The following is a 22047-nucleotide window of genomic DNA, read 5'->3' on the forward strand; positions in this document are numbered from 1 at the left end:
CAATTATTTATAGGCCACCTCAATTTGCCTCTGTTAACTGGAACTCGTGTCCTGAAACCGTGTCTTCCCTTTGCACAGTTCTGTGGTTGCTGAGATGGCATGCACCATAAGGAGTGTCTGCATTTAAGACTTATCTTTTAATGCCAGTTCTCCTTCCAGGAGCTGGGGATATAGCAATGAACCAATCAAATGTTCTTGCCTAAGAATTCAGGTAAGGGAGAAGGAAAATAAAAAATGAATATATTAGCTAGCTGGCATGTTAGACGTGAAATGCTAAGGAGAAAACAAAGCCAAGAAGATGGTAGAGGAAGAGTCAGGGGATGGGGTGGAGGGTTTCATGCTAGATAGGATGGCCAAGCATGGCTCTGCGGAGAAAGGAACCTATGAGTAGACTCATAGGAAGTGAGAAAACAAGCCATGTGATGATCTGAAGGAGGAGAATTCATAATACCAGATTCTCACATGGCTAGACCTTTTGCCCTTTCTTGAGCAACAGCCTGTCATGAATGGAGAGAAGAATTGAGGTCAACCAAAAAAGGGAAATTTTTTTGCCCAGGATCAGATGCTTTTCCAAGTAAACAAGTAGTTACTCCAAGGGATATTTCCAGGAGATTCTTCAACTCCAAAGGCCAAATCTTCACGTTTCCGTTACTGTAGAGCTTTCTAAACACAGATAATTGTTTGCACAGTTGGTCAGCTCACACAAATCCCTTGGCAGTTTCTACAGACATTTATGCATTACACATTTTCGATCCTTGGCCCAAAGTTCTGATGTTTTAGCTCTGACAGTCGGCTCATGAGAACTCAGACTTCTTGATGCAAGCCCCCAGTCTTCACTTTTGAAAGACCATGGACCAAAGTTTTAATTGCCTCGTGGGTGTCTCTTCCTCTTCACTGGGTGCACAGCGTTACTCATAATCATGCTTCTGATTTGTGTCTGTTAAAAGAAGGATCAGAAACAGACTGGCAAGGTCTTACAGTTCTTGGTAAAACTCTTGGAAAAGACTTTCTTTTTTGATTTGCTTGTGTATTTTAGTGGTGTCTTCAGGCTATTTAGAGAAAAGTAGTATGTCTATTGATTCGGCCATTGGCAGGGACTTAAATGATGGTACGTGTTGGCTGTGTAGTACCTCTGCTTCTTCTAGTTGGATTAAATCCAAGGACAGGTAAATTCTTTTGGCATTTGGCTTGACCAGAGACTTTGTATCTGCCATATTGGTAATTGGCCACCTTGGTGATTTTTGGACTAATGCTCCAGGGAGAGAAACTAAATAACTCTCTCCTCCAACCTTTTCCCAAGCAGTTCTCTCTACCTGGCATTATTTTTTAAAATTGACTTAAGCTTTGCCCCCTCTTGGAAGCATTCTATTACCCCATGTCTGTCTTCAAGATGAATTCAGCTTCCTGCTCTGTTGTCCCATAAGTATCCTGGGCATAGTTCTGCTCTGGGACTCATCACCTATTGCTGAAATCCTTTTGTTTTCTTACCTGTTTCCTACTGAACAGAGAGCTTCTTGAGGTCCAGCACTGGGGCTTAATTTGATTCATTTAGTAAGTTTTTGTTGGGAACTTACTATATATGAAGCACTGGATTCAACTCTGGGAACTCAAAAGTGAACAGAATGTACACAATTCTGCTCTCATGGAATTTATAGTCTACTGGAGTTAGACAGACATTTTAAAAAATTATCATACAGGAAATTGCAATGAGTAATTTTGTTGGGTACTATGGAGGGAAATCCTTTAAGGGCCCTGTTTGTTTCTGACTTTAAAGCACTAGCAACAAATTGGCATTAACTGATTATGTGATTTGAATGGAATTGAGGATCTCAGCGTTGGCCCTCCGTCCTGCTGTTGTCAACTCTCCCAAGTTTTTAAATGCCAAGTTGTAGTTGCCTTTGTTCCGCTAAATTGAAAAATTTACCCCGTGCAAATGAATAACTAAATTCATATTTTTTTGAAGAATTCTATCTAAATGGAGATTTGATGGCTTTCAGAAACCTTTAAAACTTCCCTTTCCCCCATATGAATTCCACTATGGATTGACATATGGCATATTTTCAATGTCTAGTTTTTGTAATTAATTGAAGGCTCACTCTGTCTGAGAAAGAGAGTGCTTTGGCATTTCCGAGACCTGTGGATTCCATCCAGAGTACCACACAGCAATGCAGAGACTCCACTGCCGCTCACCTAGCTAGGAGGCTGCAGCTCTGTTTGTGAAATGTTGCTATTCAGCTTTCAAGTTTATTGGGAGCACTGAGTTCCAAGGATAGCAATTAGGTTGTTCTGCATTCTTCGGCTGGCTCAGGATGCACGTGCTGAGACTGCACATCATAGCAACGGCTCCTTGACTGCCAGGGAGAACAGTGTGAAAGCTTTCCGTGGCTCATCTCAACCACCTCCTCCTCGCCCCTGGCGCTCCGCAATCCTCTCTACTCCTTGGTGATACCTTTTTAAATCTCCCCATTATGTTCAACAGCATGTCAGCTGAGAGTTCAGGCTTACGAGATCATGTCCAATAGGCCAAAGTGTCGAAAATAAATGTTAGCTCATAAAACATACGTGGCACATCTATAGGGCCTGAGGAAAGCCCACACAGAGAAAAAAATCTTAAGTGAACTTGTTTAACCCAGCAGTGACAGGTACAGGAATGGGATTTTCTTTTTTTTTTTTTTTTTTTTTATTAAACAGAGTTTTTCCAACTTCCAGGCTGGCAAAGAAGTTGTAAAGGGAATGTACATTTTGCACCGTAATAGAAAGAGATAAGTAGGGATTTTTCCAAGATTTGGAAAGCTGGTCTTCGTAAGTCCATTTATTTATTCAACAAAAACTTTATGAAGTATCTATTACATGCCAGGCACTGTACTTGGCATTTGGGATAACATAGTGACTGAGAAAAGATTTGCCCTTGAGAAAAATCACAGCCCCTTTGGAGGGACTGACATTAACCATTTAATCACATAAATATGATTTTTCACACAGTAATAATAGCTATGAAGATTAAAAAGCTAGATCATAAGATACGTGGCTATAAGAGAACTCCCTGATAGGGTGACATTTTAGATAAGTCTCAAAGGGTGAGAATAAACTGTCTACATGAAGAACAAGAAAAGAACCTTTCAGTCAAAGGAAATAGCAAGTGCCCAGACCCTACTGAGGAAGGCCTGGGGAGCGCCCAAGAATCCTGTGTTAATCAGGGTTCTCCAGAGGGACAGAACTAATAGGATAGATGTATATATCAAGAGGAGTTTATTAGGAGAATTGACTCACAATTGCAAGGTGAAGTCCCACAATAGGCCATCTGCAAGCTGAGGAGCAAAGAAATCAGTCCAAATCCCTAAACCTCAAAAGTAGGGAAGCTGACAGTGCAGTCTTCAGTTTGTGGCCGAAGGCCCAAGAGCCCCTGGCAAACAAGTGTTGTAAGTCTAAGAGTCCAAAAGCTGAAGAACTTGGAGTCTGATGTTTGAGAGCAGGAAGCATCCAGCACAGGAGAAAGATGAAGGCCAGAGGACTCAGCAAATCTGCTCTTTCCATCTTCTCCTGCCTGCTTTATTGTAGCTGTGCTGGCAGCTGACTAGATGGTGCCCACCCAGACTGAGGGTGGGTCTGCCTCTCCCACACCACTGACTCCAATGTTAATCTCCTTTGTCAACACCCTCACAGACACCCCCAGAAACAATACTTGGCGTCCTTCAATTCAATCAAATCGACACTCAATATTAACTGTCACAAATACGAAGGAGACCATTCTGACTGGGGTTGAGAATAGGGTGGAGAGAGTCAGGGCATGAAGCCATGGGGGAATAGGTTTGCTGGAATTTGAAAGCCATGAGACAGAGTGAGGAGTTCCTTCCAATTGAAAGATTTTAAGCAGCAGAATTCAGACATGAACTTTGGCTGGGTTTGGAATGGAGTGCACCTCTGTAAGACTGAGGTGCACCATTTCCCCGTCTGCCAAAATGGAGCAGCTGACAGCAGCTTGCTTGCAAGGGTCTCCGAGCCCACAAGCCCAGGTGTGCTTTGAGGTGGCTTCCTCAGCATCTTAAGATAACTCACAGCAATTATTTTGCTGTGGATTTGCAGAATAAACAAAGGCTTCATCGAGCCTCTGGTTTGAGGTAATAAGTCACTAATGCTGTGTGTGCACACTCCTAAGCTTCAAGCCTGTGTGGATTCTTTCTTCAATTTTACTCCCCTTTTCGTTTGCTGTTTTGTTTCCAATATGTCATGTTTCCATATAACAAAACACGCATACAGACTTGATACCATTTAATATTTAATTCAAATAATAAAATACTTACCATATCAGATAAAATGTTTACATGTATGAATGTTTATATTCCCTCAGGAGTGTGTTTTGGAGGATGGGTGAAACTCTGATAGCACACAGTGGCATTTTAAGTGGTACACAGATAAACTTCCTAACAATTTAATTGTAATGTATTTATTTTAAGGTGTAATACTTGTGTAAAATGAGGACCACATCAATTTGGTAATTTTGTAGCTATTATCGCTAGATTGCCAATGTCAGTTGTGATAGAAAATACACTGTTCAAATTCATTTACTTAAGAAGTGAGTTTATGTAAAGCCTGGATAGTAGTGCAGGAGATAGTTCTATAACGGCAACATTGGTGAAAGAAGTACATCTATGCTGAGCATTATAAAACACAGTCCCTTGAAAGGGATTGTGTAGTCATCAGCCACTTCTCTAGGTTTGTATGCCGCTCCCGGTTTTCACTGGATGTGGGTTGCCTGCTGAGCTTCCAGCAAAGCTACAGATTCAAGTTGCTTTGCTGAAAATATAGCTTAAATAATTTGTAAGATTTACCTACTACTTAAATCCTTCATTTATATTCTGATTTTGCTCATTAAAATTTGCAATATGATTGTATTTTATATGCAAAGCCATACTATTTCTTGGTAGATCCATTTATTCCCTTACCTTAGATTTTTGAAGATGCAAAAGTATCACGACTTCCTGTCCAAAAGGAAATGAGGCACTGTTGATGCCAATGCAGCATTTATACTTAATGTAGAGAAAGCACTCCATTATAGTGTACTTCAGAAATTCAGAGAGTGTGCTAAAAACCCGTGCTTCTGGTCAGCCTCAGTGGCTCACGCCTGTAATCCCAGTACTTTGGGAGGCAGAGAGATTGGAGGATCACTAGAACCCAGAAGTTCAAGACTAGCCTGGGCAACATAACAAGAGCCTGTCTCTACTAAAAATAAAAATAAATTAGCTAGACATGGTGGTACCCGCCTGTTGTACCAGCTACTAGAGAGGCTGACAAGGGTGGATTGCTGGAGCCCAGGAGTTCAAGGTTGCAGTGAGCCATGATTGCACCACTGTATTACAACCTGGGTGACAAAGCAAGGCCCTGTCTCAAAAATATAACAACAAAACCGATGCTTTTGTTTGTTTCCCAGAGGAGGGTTTTGGAAGAAACTACTGACACAGCATGTGACAGCAAGCATCACACTCACAATATCGTTTCCTTGTGTGACCGCTCCCATCAATTAGAATTGACATCAGTTCCAATCCTATACTTTATAGCCCTATACGAGAGACCTTAGTAGAATTGGAAACCAACCTAGTTACCATTCTGTGTTGTCACATCCCTTTTTTAATGTGTAAACTGAGTCAAGTGTCGACTGAAGCTTCAGCCAGAATTCAATGCCAGGATTCATTCTCCGTCTTAACACTAGCCACCAGATGATGTTTTATCAGTCAACTTGAGTCTTCTCATATTACCCGTTGACTGTGTTCTGTTTGACAAAGAAGCTGTGTGGGTTGCTAGTATATTTTTCCCTCAAGACCACCTAACAAACACGGCATTACTTGTGGGATAAATGTTAGCCATGGGAAAAGGAAACAATATTCCCTGGTATGCTGCTCATTGTCACATGCTATGTCTTTAGTTTCTTCTGAAACCCTTCTTGGAAACATTTCTCTCCCAGTTGTAATTTGTATATTGCTGCATCTTTTGAAAAATTATTTTGAAGTCTTAAGATAAAATACTACATGAGAACGGAGTGGGAAAGGATCTAAGAAGCAGTTGTAAAAATAACATTCTGGGACAGTGGCACTCATGGTAAAGTATCTTTGTTGCATCACGTTTGTTTTGGACATTCTGCTGGCTAGAAAGAGTAGCATAGACCACGGATTGGCAAACTTTTTCTGTAAAAGGGCAGTGGATATATATGTTCAGCTTTGCAGGTCATATAGTCTCTGCAGTACCTACTCAGCTGGAAAGCAGCTATAGACTAGGTAAACAAATGGCCAGGATTGTTTCCCAATAAATCTTATTTACAAAACAAGCGGTGAGCCGGATATGGCCCTGGGACTGTAGTTTGCCCTGTGCTAGGGAGCACAGAAGAGATGCATTTGACTCTTAGAAATATACAGACCTGAGCCACATCCTGGCTCTGATACTTACCAGCTGTGGGTGCCTGGCCATCTGAAAGCATTTCTCAGCTCATCAGTTTCTACTTAAGTAAAATGGGACCAATTATACAACCCCTCTGATGGGTTATTGGGAGAATCTAACGAGGAATGCTCAGTGATGAACACAGACCTGACCCAGTAAGCACACATCCAATGTTAGATGCTACTGTGGCTGCTGTGTTGCCGTGGCTGCTGGGTTGGAAGCCCTGCTCCACTCTTCCCCCTCCAGTCTGTTGCCCATAGGGAAGGAAGAGTAACCTTAACATGGAAATTGACCCAAGTGTCTTTTCTGCTTAAAGCCTTTCCGTGGTTTCCCACGCCTTTCACTATGGCCTGATCTAGCTCATGCTTCCTTTTCCAACATGGTGGTGCTGCTCTCCTTCACTCTCGCTGGGTGGGCTCCAGCCATACTGAAGCAGTGCATGGAGCTCTTTTGTGCCTTGGGACATTTACATGCCACTTTCTTTTCCAGAATGTTCTTTCTTTGGCTTTTCTAATGGCTGGTGTCTTCTCATTCATTATGTGTTTGCTTAGATGTTACTTCCTCAGAGAAGTCTTTATCATTCTCTTACCATAACTATTTTCTCATAACTCTCAGCAAAATTCATCAAGAACCGTGCCTGTCTTATTCACAGTTGAAATCACAGTGCTTTGTACAGTGTTCTGGCACATAATAGACACTCAATAAACACATGCTAAAAATAAGTGATTTAATGATTTATGATGATAATCATTATCATCATGAATAAATCTGAAAGCATAGGACCTCAGCCGGGTTTCATCAGACTTCAACCGTCTTCAAACTACTTCATGATTTTTACCTTATCTAGGTACCACTTTTGTTACAAATATTTACAATTTTTTACTCCCTTTTTTGACTTAGTTTTTTTTTTTTTTTTTAAATAAACCAGGGATTGACAAACTACAGCCTCAGGGCCAAATTTGGCCCTCCGCCTTTTTTTGTAAGTAAAGTTTTATTGGAATACAGCCATGCCCATTTATTACTGTATCGTCTGCAGATGCTTTCACCCTATAGTGGCAAAGTTAGATAGTTGAGTAGAGACTGTCTGGCCTGCAAATCAGGAAATATTTACTGCCTGATTCTTTACAGAAAACATTTGCCAACTACTGTACTAAGTCATAAAAACCACCAAATCCCATGTTTGATACGCTAGTTATGTTTTTGTTTTCATTTTCATTAAAAACAATCTTGTAACTATTATGATTTTAAAAAATGATTTACTTAAGGGCCCACTAAAAACATCTTGTCTGCCATCTCTGGTATATGAGCCACACTTTGGGAACCAGAGCCACAGTAGTCTTTAAACTTCATCAGTGACATTCTACACCTGGGTGAAAGTCCAATATGTGGGTCCCTGACTCGGTGCAAGTTAGAACATTTTCCCCTCCAGAGATCCTTTAGTGACTACTTCATTTTGGGAAGTGCGATTTTCAAATTTACCCAATGGTAAACTCATGGGCCTTTCTCCCCACGGTGCAGTACATCTGCCTGGCGTACTCTTGCTAACCTTCCACACAGCGTGCTGAGAGTCTGATGTGAACATCTGCATCATGGATGTCATTATAACAGGTGTCAAAAATGCTACTATGCCCCCAGAACACCTAGACTCTTCACAAGATAGATGAAACCTATGGCTCTCTGTACCTGTGCTTCCAGAAATCAGGACTGATGGATTTTTCTCATATTATGAATAGCCAGTGGCTGTTCTGTTAGATGGCCCTTTGTAAAGAAAATTCTGCCTCCCAGAAGTTTCCCCAGATTTACCTGTTGCATTATGAAATCTCCTGTAAATAATGCAGAGAAATTTGCAGATGCCTTCTTATTTTTGTTTTTCAATGAAAATCATTTCAGGTAATGAAAGTTATGACCTCAAAGTGAAAGGTGTATAAGGTAAGCCTCTTCCAATTACAGCAGGCAGAAAACCCAACGCAAAATGGCTCAGACAATCAGGCAATTTGCTGGCTCACGCAACTCAAAAGTCTAGGACAAGCTGGCTTCAGGTACTGCTGGTTCAAGCCATTAAATTACATCACAAAGGTTTGGTTTCTCTCTATATATTTCTCTGGGTCACTTTTGCTATGTTGGCTCTATCCTGAGGCAGTCTCTCTCCTCGTGGTAACCAGGTGGCTCTAGCAGCCTCAGCTTTATATCTCTCAAGAGTAAGTCCACCGTCACAGAGCTGGCCTCTGTCTCAGAAGTTCTAGGCAATATCTCATGATATCAAATTGGGTGTGCTTGTGCCAGGCTCAACCAAGAGAAATGGGATGTGCTGATAAGTCACATTTAGGACATGCGACAGCTGGAGCTGGGGATGGAGCTAGCCAGCCCCCTGAGAATCACATGGACTCTAAATGGGGATCTCAAAGCAAGATGATAAGATATTATTAGAAGCAGCATGAATAGGTGGCAGGGAACAACAACAGCAGCAACAATAATAAATTTCTGTTACATAAAAAGCCAGCTTGCTCCCCAAGGCTTGATTTTCCATTTCACCTTCTACTGCAGGATTTTCAACCTAAGCACTCTTGACATTTAGGGCCAGATAATTCTTCGTTATGGGGCTGTCTCGTGAACTGTAAAATCTTTAGCAACATCCCTGGCCTCTACCCCTGTGATGCCAGTGGCATCTCCTTCTTACCCCCCACCCCAGTTCTGACTACCAAAAATGTCCTCTGGGAGCCAAAACGGCCCCCAGTTGAGAACCACTGCCTACTGTTACAAGTGGAAAGTGGGGAGCAGAGGATTATCACCTCACAATTCACCAGGGAAATAATACTAAAGGGGGAAAGAGCCACTCCTAGGGCTGGGCTTGACAACATTTCAGCATTGGGTTTGAAGCCTTCATTTTACTCTCTTTCTCCAATGAACCTGGGGAAGGTTGTCAGAACCCCAAAGGGCCCAGCCAATCCTATCAGCAGAAGCAATTGTAGTCTAGGGTTTAAGGATCCTAGGGTCAGGAAGTTCTAGGTCTCCCTCCTGTTAACACTAACACCTCTGTGTTTTTTGTTTGTCTGTTTGTTTGTTTGTTTTTAGAGACAGAGTCTCACTCTGTTGCACAGGCTGGAGTGCAGTGCTGCAATCTCGGCTCACTGCAACCTCTGCCTCTTGGATTCAAGTGATTCTCTTGTTTCAGCCTCCCAAATAGCTGAGACTACAGGCGTGCACCACCACGCCTGGCTAATTTTTTGTATTATTAGTAGAGACGGGGTTTCACCATGTCGGCCAAGCTGGTCTCGAACTCCTGAGCTCAAGTGATCCACTCGCCTAAGCCTCCCAAAGTGCTGGGATTACAGGCGCGAGCCACCATGCCCGGCCTGTATTGTTTTTTAGTACAGGTGTGAGATTTCAGTGATTATAAATGACAACTATTTAGCAAAGGGGCAGGCGTGAGATGATCACTCAATAAATATGAGCTCTAATTTTGTATGTCATTATCATAAGCATCATCATCATCATTTAAACCAGGTTTTCTCGGCCAGGCGCGGTGGCTCACTCCTGTAATCCTAGCACTTTGGGAGGCCGAGGGGGGTGGATCACCTGAGGTAAGGAGTCCAACACTAGCCTGGCCAACATGGTGAAACTCGTCTCTACTAAAAATACAAAACTTAGCTGGGCGTGGTTGTGGGCACCTGTAATCCCAGCTGCTCAGGAGGCTGAGGCAGGAGAATCGCTTGAAATCGGGAGGCAGAGGTAGCAGTGAGGTGAGATCCTGCCACTGCACTCCAGCCTGGGAGATAAGAGTGAAACTCCATTAAAACAAACAAAAAAACCCAAAAACCAAAAAAAACAAAAAACAAAACAAAAACAAAAAACAAAAAACAAAAAAAAACAACAAAAAACAAGTTTTGTCAAGCTCAATGGTATTGACATCATTTGGGGGCAGACAATTCTCTATTGCAGAGGACTGTCCTGTGTGTGGTAGGATGTGTAGCATCCCCAACATCCGCACTGTAGATGTCAGTAGAACTCTCAGTTGTGTCAATCAAAAATGTCTCCAGATATTGCCAAACATCCCCTGGGACAAGGAGGGGGATGGGATGAGGGACAGGGTGGGAACAAAACTGCCTCTGATTGAGAACCATTGAGTTAAACCCACTCAGGGGACAGAATGACCATCTGGCACAGTAATAATTCTCTTGCTATGTTTTATTCCCCAGAGCTGGTCCCATGATTTTCCCAATAAAAATAAGAAGGTACTTCCCAACCTGCTTAAGAAAATGTTTGAGGTATCAAGGCCAGATATAATACCCAGATGACTGTTATTAGCAACTCTGATTTCCTGATGCAGAGATGGGGAAAGCATTCCCATCTCCTTTGGCCTTTATGTCTCAGAAATGCTGTCTCAAGACTCCTAGATCACACTTGTTCTATTTCCAGTTTCAATCTGGCCCAGGGGATCCATGCAGCAAATCCAGTTAGTTACTTAAAATGTGTCTTAATATTTGGCAACCAGATGGAAAATCATTGCTCCAAACCTTGGCCTGCATGTTCTAATGAAAATGCTTGTTAGATTTAATGAAAACCAGATGTGAGGACGATCTGGCTGTGACATCTGTCACCCCATTGATTGCCAGGGTTGATTTGGCTGATCTGGCTGGCTAGGCGGGTGTCCCCTTCCTCCTTCACCACTCCATGTGTGTCCCTCCCGAAGCTGCAAGCTCAGCTGAAGAGGATGACCATCCCCTATAGAGCAGGACAGGTCTTTGGTCAAGGGTATTCGAGTAGCTATGCTCCCCTGCTAGAACCTCCAACATGCTCTCAAGGTCCATTAGATTTAATGAAAGCCATAGGCCAGACCATGAATAGTGTGGCGTTTTAGATACACAAGAATGGATATGCAGAAATATGGTATTGCTGATGATGTGGATGTGTACAATGAGGACCTTTAGTTTTCCTATGTTTGCCTGACACTGAGGTTTCTTGTGATCAGTGAGAAGCTAAGTCTGATTTGGAGTCTGGTAAACTCGGCTCCCACCATTCTCCATTCAAAATCAGCAGAATATTGTGGTTACGAGCATAGCATTTGGAGCCAGACAAACTTCAATGGCTACTTAGCAGCTATGTGTGGCTGGCACATCACTGGTACTCAATAAATACTGGTTGACTGTTGAATATTGCCCAGCCTCAGCGATAATAATGCATAATGCTTAGTTTATTCATCTTGAGATAAAAACAATGTCTATGTCTGGGGTAGTAAATTAGATAATCTTTGTAAAACATTTAGCACAAAGGAAACAGTCAAAAAATTATAGTTACCATATGTAACAGATGTACGAGATTCACAGCCATTTTGTTCATTCTTTATTCATTATTCAACTCATTTTTATTTAGTGCTTACTTTGTGTACTGTCCTAGCAATTAGTAAGTCAACAACTAAAGAGACCTAAATGAGCAATTGCATACTGTTTTCTAGTTAATAATACTGCAAATGTTTAATGTGTAGAATTTTTTTGGTCCCATTTGAATCCACTGTGTGATGAATTATCACAAAAAAATGAACTGTCTCCAATTATTTAACTTTCTCAAAAATTAGCTAGAAATTCAGGGGGGAATTTCCCTCTCAGTTCCTGCCACATCTCCACAGCATTCAATAATACTTTTTAATTTTCAAAAAGAAGTGAAGTTTCCAGGCAAGGCACTGACAAGTAAGTTTAATGGAATTTATTGCAGACTTATTCCTGATCTATCCCAAGAGTCCCTTGATTTATTTAGTTTATCCTATAACATAAGAACATGGGCTACATGGATGAGGAATGCAGTCTTAAGGCCAGGGTTGTGGTTTTCTGTATCCTTCTGTATCTTTGGATGGTTACAATTCCCTCTCTTAGCATATTTTCATATGGTTAAGTCTTAGCGTGATTCCATTGCCAATGAGTCTTTGCCTAGGTGCTTGGACCACCTTTGATGCCATCTTGTGGTCCTACATATAATTCTAGTCTCCATAGTGAATGAATGGTGACCTCCCCCACCACCTCCCAGCTCAGCCTAAGAGGTAATGGAATGATCTTCTATTGACTAGGCACCAGCAAGGAAGAAAGAAGACCCAAACAGGTGCAGGTCCTTTGAGCGAGGGTCAGGTGTGAAGGATGCAGCTGCATTCCTCAAAGGCAAGTTCTTCACAGAAGCTTATCTGGAATGTCCCAATTCTCAATTTAATAGTAAAAGTCATAAACCCTATTATTATTATCATCTAGTGCTTGTAGAGGGCCTTCCCTGTTGCCATTCTCTTGTCTTAGAGTAGTCTACAAGGTCCAGCTTAGACTCGACTTCTTGCAGAAAGCCTCCACAATCTCTCACATCTGAAATAAAAATGGTCCCTCTCTGATCATTTGCTACAACCTGTTTCTTCACAATACTTCTTACTGCCTGAACATATCATGCACATTTTTGTTTACTTATTGTATTAGTCTGTTTTCACGCTGCTGATAAAGACAAACCCAAGACTGGGTAATTTATAAAGAAAAAGAGGTTTAATGGACTCATAGTTCCACTTGGCCAGGGAGGCCTCACAATCATGGCGGAAGGCGAAAGGCATGTCTTACATGGCAGCCGGCAAGAAAGAATGAGAGCCAAGTGAAAGAGGAAACCCCTTATAAAAACATCTGATCTTGTGAGACCTATTCACTACTACGACAAGAGTATGGGGGAAACTGCCCCCATGATTCAATTGTCTCTGACAAAGTCCCTCCCACAACACATGGGAATTATGGGAGCTACAATTCAAGAGGAGATTTGGGTGGGGACACAGCCAAACCATATCACTTATTTATTGTTATTACTTCTCCTCTACACACTAACCTGGTCCTATCATGATAATGGGGATCTGTCTGCAGCAGCAGTGAAGGGGGAATGGAAGGAATCCACTTTTTGCCAAGTGAATAAGCAAGTACTCAGTGCCAGGGGCTGGGCTGAGGCCACTGCTGAATACTGGCTGTTGGTGGTGATTCAGTGGCTAAGATTTGACCCCAAACCACCACTGGATGCATGTTATCATTAATCCTGGAGACTCACTGAGATTAGTTAACTTGCTTGAGATCCCACAGAGAGTAAAAGATGGAGCCTTGATTTGCACTCGTGGACTCTGATTCTGTGCCTGCTTTCTTAACCTATTTGCAAACGGCCTCAACCTCACTTTGCCCCTTCATTTCTAACAAGGGAAGTTCCTTTGCCTTCCCGTTTTCCAGGTCATTGCCCAGGTCCTAACCCACCTGTCTGGTTTTGCAAAAGTCTAAACCCCTCGTTGGCTGTGGCTTTCTTTCCCCCATTAATATTCAGAGCTCAAGTTGCATCAAATGGTTAAAAAATAAAGTGCATATTATTAAACTTTTCAATAATGGAGTCACTTTAATGTTGGGAAATTCTACCACAGGATAATGCTTTTTGGCAAGCTCCTGTTTTAGCAGGAAGCCTGCAGTGAAGGTATGCAGAGAGAGAGAGTGAGGGGGCATCTGTTTGCTGTCAGTTTCTCTGACAGCTCTGTTTGTGTCAACGTTCCCAAGGATGGTAACTATGATTTCACAAAAGGGTCAAAGCCCATCAAACCTTTTTGCCTGCTGTGGTCCCACCCCCAACCCTTCTCTCCTGCCTCTTTGTCCCTTCTAAATTAAATCACATTCCACTGCCTTTTATTGAACAACCTCTGGACAAAATACTCTTCCACACACTCCTCGCTTAAGGCAAAGTAATTGGAACAGAAAGTGCTACTGGCCAAGAGCCACCAACTAATTGCTTTATGCCCAACTCCCCTCGCCAGAGGCACACCCAGCATTGACAAATCCATGGCTGTTTCCCAGTTTTTTGAGGTTTCTGAAACAATTGGTCCAATCTTAATAGTGGGGCAGGTGGGGGAGAGATGCAAAGCAGGGGTAGGGGTGGGAGAAAATGAATTCTCTGTAGTCATTAGTACCTTTTACCTGGTCTGTTTAATCTCCTATTATTTTGATCATGGATATCTGGTTTTTTAATTTCCTGTAATCCAGCAAGGAATGCCGTTCTAAGGACATCTGTGGTCTCTGCTTTTTCATGTTCCAAAAATCCTAAAAGAGATGTTTTGTCAATGACTGGATATTTCATTAGAAATCCAAAGATTCCCATTAACTTGAATTATTTTCATAGCTCTGATCAACTTTTAGGTTAATAATACATGATATTTAATAACCTGTTCAGATCGTCACCAAAATTATTGATTTAATAATATTTGGTCATTAATAATGAAAAAGGAGGGGGGAGTGATAGTTCCTATCACTTACGTCAATTTATTCCTTATTGCGTTGCAAATCTCAGGGAAAACCAATCATTGTAGCAACTTTTAATATCCCACCGTCGTTCTTGGTAGAAGCCAGGAAAATGTTCTGCATTTTAAAATGTCTGTATTCTTAAGTTTAAAGAATAAATACAATGAAGGCATCTGTTTAATCCAACCATTCTTGATTTCAGAACTTTCCGACAGTTTGTAGAAACCACAGCCCCCACTCCTCCTGGGTTCTCTAGCACATCTCAATTGGCTTTCTTCCTCTTTTTTATTATATTCTATTGAGTCACATTGTAATCACCTTTTGTGGTTCTTTGCTAATATACTTTGAAATTTGAAACAAGAATTGAGCTGAAAAGTTCATCATCAATTTATTTTGGCAACATGAAGGTTCAAATAGTTTTCCTGTAGAGGTCGTATTGGTGATGGGGTTAAAGTGAGCATTTCATCTTATATGAAAAAAAGTAGAAGTCACATGTATGAACCAGATGTGTAAATATTGATTACTATTTTGAAGTTATCACATTTTATTTCCAACTTTAAAATCACTTTTTTGGGGAGCGTCTTTTGAAATTTGTCCTCATTGTTGGAATATCCCTATGAGGACTTTTTTTTAATTTGGTAACAATAAATAAGTCTCTTGGCTGACTTCCAAGAAGAACCTACATTATTTCAAATTCTATTCAATACTTAATGGTGTTATGGCAAATTTCCAGCACCTAACTTTCCAGGCAATGAGAAATTTCCCTCTAGAATTGTATTTTGATGGAAACTGATTTCCTGTATTGGATAAATAATGGACAATATGTACGCAACTTTAGCTCAAGAAACATCATCAGATTTCCCCCAACCTGAGGCCTTCTCTGCACATGCCAGAACATCTGCAGGAAAAAAGTGCCTGGGGCAGGTACAGGGTCACTGTGTCTACACAGTGCTAGAGCATCTGTATATTTGAAAACATTCAGACAATTAACTCTATTTTTCACTTTTTGTCACATAGACCCAGTTTGAGTTTAACGAAAAAAAAAGAAAAGAAAGAAAGGAAAGGGAAAGAAAAGGAGAGGAGGTGGGGGAAGAGAGGAGAGGGGAGGGAAGAAGAGGGGAGAGGAGGGGAGAGGAAGGAAGAAGAGGGGAGGGGAGGAAAAAGGAATACTCTTAATAAGACCGTAAAGAGTGAAGGGTGCAATTTACGGAGAGTAGAAACAACCTTTGCAAAACTCAAACGGTGTCCATAACATCTCAGCTGAAAATATGTTTTGGGTTCTACAATAGTGATTCTAAATCCTGCTATAACACAAATACTTCATAATCAACCTCCCCCCATCTTGTTTAATATTTAATATGTAAAAAAGTTATTATGGTAGAACGGAAGAATATGACTTGGATTTTGAGTTGAGCAGCTCATGTAGTTTAGGAGAGGGCATTGTTTTTCAAATTGTGGATCAAGGCCCATTAGTACAATGAATTTTGTGGATTATGACCAGCATCTTTCTTTTTTTTTTTTATTATACTTTAAGTTTTAGGGTACATGTGCCCATTGTGCAGGTTAGTTACATATGTATACATGTGCCATGCTGGTGCGCTGCACCCACTAGGATAGATTAGAATACATTTGAGTACCTTGCATGTAGCAAGGGAAGTAAAATTGTTTAATTGACTGTTTCTTTATAACATATGAGCGCACGTGTACTGGGTCACAATATCAAATGTGTTTTTTACTATAGGTCAATTACAAAGAAAAAAAGTTCTAAAGCCCTGGTGTAGAAGGAACAGTTTCTCATATTCAGGGGTAGAAAGAAGTAACATAAAAGCTAATATGCAAGAATTATACCTCCCAAGTATATTGAAAAAACATAATCTTTTGTTGGTTTCATTTTCCTGTATCCGAGCAAAAATGGGTATCTTTTGGTTCTACTTCTCTCTTTATTTCTCAAATGCTCAGCAGACAGCAAAGTCCCCAGGGGTTTCTTAGACAAACAACCTCTGATGGTATGTTTAAAGGAGAGTCTAATTTCACAAAATTAAAATAAGCCAACTACCTAATACATATGTGTGCATTGATTGCTTTTATTTAGGAAAGACAAAATGTCATTCCAAAACTAGAAGAAATTGTTTGGGGGGAAATATTTTGTCTAATTTGTAGGGAAAGCAGAGAGAGTGCTTCAGCTTGGTTTTGAAACAGGAATGGAAGTATAGAATAACTTCAGTTACCAACATTTTTAATAACAGAGAAAAATCATCTCACTTCTCCATTCTGCCACTATAATTTCAGGCCCACAGGTAGGTTGACCTGACATCTGGGAAGTGTGACTTGCCCCTCACCATTTCAGTTACAGGGCATATTTGCTGTTTATACGAAGCTGGTGGCTCTCAGTATCATGGCCTTTCAGGTGCAGATTTTGATGCTCCATGATGAATCTGGCTCTTGCCACACCTGGATTTTAATATTCATTGTTAACTTGAGGAGCTGCCGCAGGTGGGACAAGATTTCATTATGAGCTCTTTGAACTTATACCAGTTATAGAAGTGGAGAAATAGATTTCACCCAAGAACATTTTTAATGTTATGTCAGAGCCCAATTGATCTGATGGACTTTTAATGACTTCAGTGATAATAAGAGAGATCATGACTTAGACCCGCTTCAGCCAGTGTGGAAAGGTTGCTGGCAATTTGCATGGTCTGATGAGATCTGAAGTGGGAGGAAATGGACATCTGAGTTCTAAGACATCGCGCTCTGCAGAGGTGCCATGATCTGCTGGCTGCTGGGGACATTGACCACTGGGCACGCGTGCTGTGAATTCTGCATGCCTCAAGTCACCTGAATACATCAGCAAAAGTCATAACCTATCAAGAAAGCAGGCAGACTGGGGGGTGGGGGGAAGGTGGGAGGGTTGGACTCACCCACAGACACCGGAAGACCTGAAAGAATGCTGAATAAAGGAGGAGTGGCGAAAGAGAGGAAGAAAGTTTCCCCACTGTTAGAGGCCATTTAGGCTGCTTAAGAGCACTAGGAGCAATCCAGAGAAAGTACTTTTCACTTGCATTTTAAGCAAATAGGAGGTTTAGCAGGATATTATCACCTGGAGAGCACAGTAATGGGTAATTGAGTAGGGAAAGGGACTGTGCATTTCTGATTAATATTTACCAAAGTCTTTGTGTGTTTTTTCCTTAAATGTTAATGATGTGACAGATCCGACTGAAGAAAAAGGACACTGTGGTTGGGAATATGGTACTGTGCCCATCAAATTCTGCCTCCTCTATGCTTGGCTTATGATGAATACCATTCTTTAATAGCAAACTGGTGTTCGTGAAGAACTTATTACGGAGGCTAAGAGAAAACCAAGAATGAAGGAATGCCCGCCTGGCAGTGATCAATCACCCCCTCTTAAAGATGAACCGATCCTTCTGTTTTAAAGTAACAGTTCTTACGAAGGTCTCAAACATAAATATGCAAGGCATCGAAGCAATTACCGTTGCCCCATCCTATTCATGTTTCTGTGCATGTTTGAGGAGAAGGTGAAGATGGCGCCCACCTTTCCCGGGAGAGTTTTCTTCTAGGAGAAAGGAGCTGAGGCTCTTCTCCAGATAAGGCTTCCTATTAAATGGAGGTTAATTATTAGTACCAGCAGCATAATAATATCCTAATGCCAAAGGACGAAGTCACATTTGGTTAGAGATTTCTGCATTCCTAGATGCAGTAGTCAAAAGAGAGTCACTCCCAAGAGAGCTAGCTAAGGAAGCCATGCTTGAGAACTAAGGAACACGAGAGTCTGTCTTCAGAGCCAAGATGCCCCAGACCCGGAACTCATTTCGTGGCCACGTGAAATTTGCAATGCCTTTTTCAGTTTACCCCTGACTTTATCATTTCTTGCTCAAAAATCTTTAAAGCAAGATTTCTCCACTTCCTTTACCTTGGCACTGCTGACATTAGGAGCTAGATGATTCTTCTGAGAGGGGCTGTCCTGTGATTGTAGAATGTTTAGCGGCATCCCAGGCCTCTCCCCAGTGGATGCTGGTAGCAGCCCCTTTAATAGTGGTGATAATTAAACTGCTTTCAGATATTGCCAAATGTCTCTTGAGCGGTAAAATCTCCCCCTGTTGACAACAATGACTTTAAAGATAACTTGGCGCCTTCAGAAAAGTTTAATCTTTTCTGAATGCCCAAAGGCCTTGATCTCATCTCCTTTAACCTCCACTTATCATTCACTGATACCAATCCCATAGAGTTCTCTCTCTTTTTTTAAGTTATATTTTATTTTATTTTTATTTTTATTTATTAATTTTTTGAAACAGGGACTTACAGGGTGGCCCAGGCTGGAGTGCAGTGGTGCAATCACACCCCACTATAGCTTCAACCTCCTGGGCTCAAGCCATTCTCCCACCTCAGCCTCCTGAGTAGCTGGGACTGCAGGCACACCCCACCATGCTCAGCTAATTTTTATATTTTTTGTAGAGCTAGGGTTTTGCCATGTTGCACGGGCTGGTCTCGAACGATCCTGGGCTCAAACAATCTGCCCACCTCAGCATCCCAAAGTGCTGGCATTCCAGGCATGAGCCACCGCACCCAGCCTTATTTTATTTTTAATTGGCAAATAATAATTGTACATATTTATGGGGTACGATGTGACGCTTTGATACATGTATACATTGTGGAATTATCAAATACAAGTGTTTAGCATATCCATCATCTCAAATCTTTAATATTGTGGGAGGAGAACCTTTCAAATCTTCTATTGGCTATTCTGAAATATAAAACATATTATTATTAATTGCAGTCATCTTCCTGTGCAATAGAACACCAGAACTTTTTTCTCCTATCTAACTGTAATTTTGTACCCATTGACTGAGGTCTCCCTGATCCTCCCACGCTCCAGCCTCTTATAACCACCTTTTTACTCGCTTTTACTTTTTTTAGATTTCACATATAAGTGAGGTCATACTGTATTTGTCTCTCTGAGCCTGGCTTATGTCACTTACCATAAATTATTTCCTCTAGGGCCTTCTCACACTTTCTTTTTTTTTTTTTTTTTTTTTTTTTTTTTTTGAGACGGAGTCTTGCTCTGTCTCCCAAGCTGGAGTGCAGTGGCACGATCTTGGCTCACTTCAAGCTCCACCTCCCAGGTTCACGCCATTCTCCTGCCTCAGCCTCCTGAGTAGCTGGGACTACAGGCGCCCGCCACCATGCCCAGCTAATTTTTTGTATTTTTAGTAGAGATGGGGTTTCACCATGTTAGCCAGGAGGGTCTCCATCTCCTGACCTCATGATCCGCCGGCCTCCCAAAGTGCTGGGATTACAGGCGTGAGCCACCACGCAGGGCATTTTTTTTTGTTTTTTTTTTGACACAGAGTCCCTCTGTGGCCCAGGCTAGGGTGCAGTGGCACTATCTTGGCTCAATGCAACCTCCACCTCCCAGGTTCAAGCGATTCTCCAGCCTCAGCCTCCCAAGTAGCTGGGACTACAGGCATGCACCACCACGCCCAGCTAATTTTTGTATTTTTAGTAGAGACGGAGTTTCACCTTATTGGCCGGGGTGATCTTGAACTCCTGACCTCAAGTGATCCGCCCACCTCGGCCTCCCAAAGTCCTGGGATTACAGGCGTGAGCCACCGCGCCTGGCCCTTCTCACACTTTCTAAAATGCTCCAGGAGCAAGCCCTCTGCCTGTATCTTTCCCGTTGCTGTTTCCTTTTAGGCCCAGTTCACTGTAGGGTCCTGGTGCCCAGAACAGGCCCTAGAATATGGACATGCAGATGACTTGACCTTCTCCCACAGCCCTGCATCTGCCAAAATTCCCTCTCCCTTCAAGCCATAGCCCAGTGGGTTCTTTGGCAGAAGGCTTCAAGTCTATCATCATGGTTGAGAACATAAACTCTGGAGCTATCCTGAGCTTAATTTCTCCTCCTCAACCTGCCAGCCATGTGATTGGCAAGTTACTGCAACTTCTCTGTGCCTCAGTTTCCTCATCTATAAAACAGATATCATAGTGGAGTCCATGAGGGCCTCAGAGGGCTAGTGTGAGAATTTGTGAAAAAAGCATCTGTCACGTAACAAAAGCAGCACCACCTCGCCTCTGTTTGCCATAAGCAGCACCTCCTAACCTGAAGCCTTCTCTATGGGAGAGGTTTGAACATCCATCTCAGTTTTCTTGTAGCATATTTTCATTGACTACATTTTCTGAGCCAAAATCAGGACATGGTGTGTAATAGCATCTAGGACAAGGGTCCAGAGGTCTGAAATATGAGCAGCCTGAAAACCTGTGGAGAGTAGTTGTCATAATTATAGTTCATTCCCATGTGTGTGCATACACGTGGGTGCCGCACGTATCTTCCCAACAGGTCATGGGTGGGAGACCGTATCTTCATGTCTGTTCCATGTGCAGAAGTATTAATAGAGTAGGGAGAGTGTAGGGGGCCCCTGTGGAATATTTGTTGATTTGAATTCTTCTAATTTAATGAAAGGAGAGCCTCTTTCAGAAACTCCTCTTTCTTTCTGGCTCCCCAAGTCCTTCAGTTAAGAAAGAGATGATCTTTTGCACCCTCTAATTTCTTAAAGGCAGGTCCTGCACTTCTTACCAGAACAATTCAGGGTAAGATTTGTTATTTGTCAGAACTTGTGGAACAATGTTTTGTTTTGTTTTTAATTTTTCTAAACATAATCTCTCTTCCCCATGGGGAGCTTGATTAAAATGTAGATTTCTAGGCTTCAGTTTAGACTTACCAAATTAGAAATTCTGGTGATGAGACCTGAGAATCTGAATTTTTAAATGCATCCCAACCACTCATGTTTACTCTTACTCCTGTTGAGAACCACAACTTTAGGATAAAGCAGCAAAAAGTAGAGAGGCTCTTTGGCATTACACATACACAGAGCCAGAGAGAGTCTGAGCTTGAAAATGCTGCCATTTTTATGAGGGGAGTAAGACAGAATTATTTTCCTCTGTGCTTTCTGTCATGTTCTGGATAATGTAAGTTATGCACATGGAGGCATTTTCTTTTTTAAATGAAAGGCTTGTATTCCACATTCCACAACTCTTAAAAACAAGCCGCCCTGAGGAGGAGGACTAGGTTTTTACAATTATAGCTGGAAGACGGTACGTGTTACCCTCAACACAAAGGGCAGCACAGGTAGTCGACAAGTTCTGAGAATTCTTTCTGAATATCATGAGTGCAGACTGTGACTTCAGAGCATCCCTTTTGGGAAGTCTCCATTAGCAGGTGTACCAAAAAGGGTTCCATATGGCTCCAATATCCAGTAGGATTGGATGCATATTTGAGCACAACCCAAAGAGATGAAATAATCCATCCTTGGTTTATTTCTAGATGATTAAT

At 41.7% G+C, this 22047-nt stretch overlaps 1 protein-coding gene and 1 pseudogene across 9 annotated transcripts in view, besides 1 other annotated feature; both read left to right on the forward strand.

The window, feature by feature from the left end:
- Positions 1-22047, forward strand: part of TSHZ2 (teashirt zinc finger homeobox 2) — a 522973-nt gene that overhangs the window by 114302 nt on the left and 386624 nt on the right. The window lies entirely within an intron of this gene.
- Positions 2057-2283: a silencer, noted in NCBI's record as "fragment chr20:51705255-51705481 (GRCh37/hg19 assembly coordinates)". NCBI's record gives its function as "represses an EF-1alpha promoter that drives an FKBP-Casp9 reporter gene in an ReSE screen in K562 erythroleukemia cells {active_cell/tissue: K562}" and the evidence as "EXISTENCE:reporter gene assay evidence [ECO:0000049][PMID:32094911]".
- Positions 10994-11238, forward strand: RN7SKP184 (RN7SK pseudogene 184; annotated as a pseudogene).

The sequence above is a fragment of the Homo sapiens genome, chromosome 20 (genome assembly GCF_000001405.40).
Source record: "Homo sapiens chromosome 20, GRCh38.p14 Primary Assembly".
Classification (NCBI taxonomy): Eukaryota; Metazoa; Chordata; class Mammalia; order Primates; family Hominidae; genus Homo; species Homo sapiens.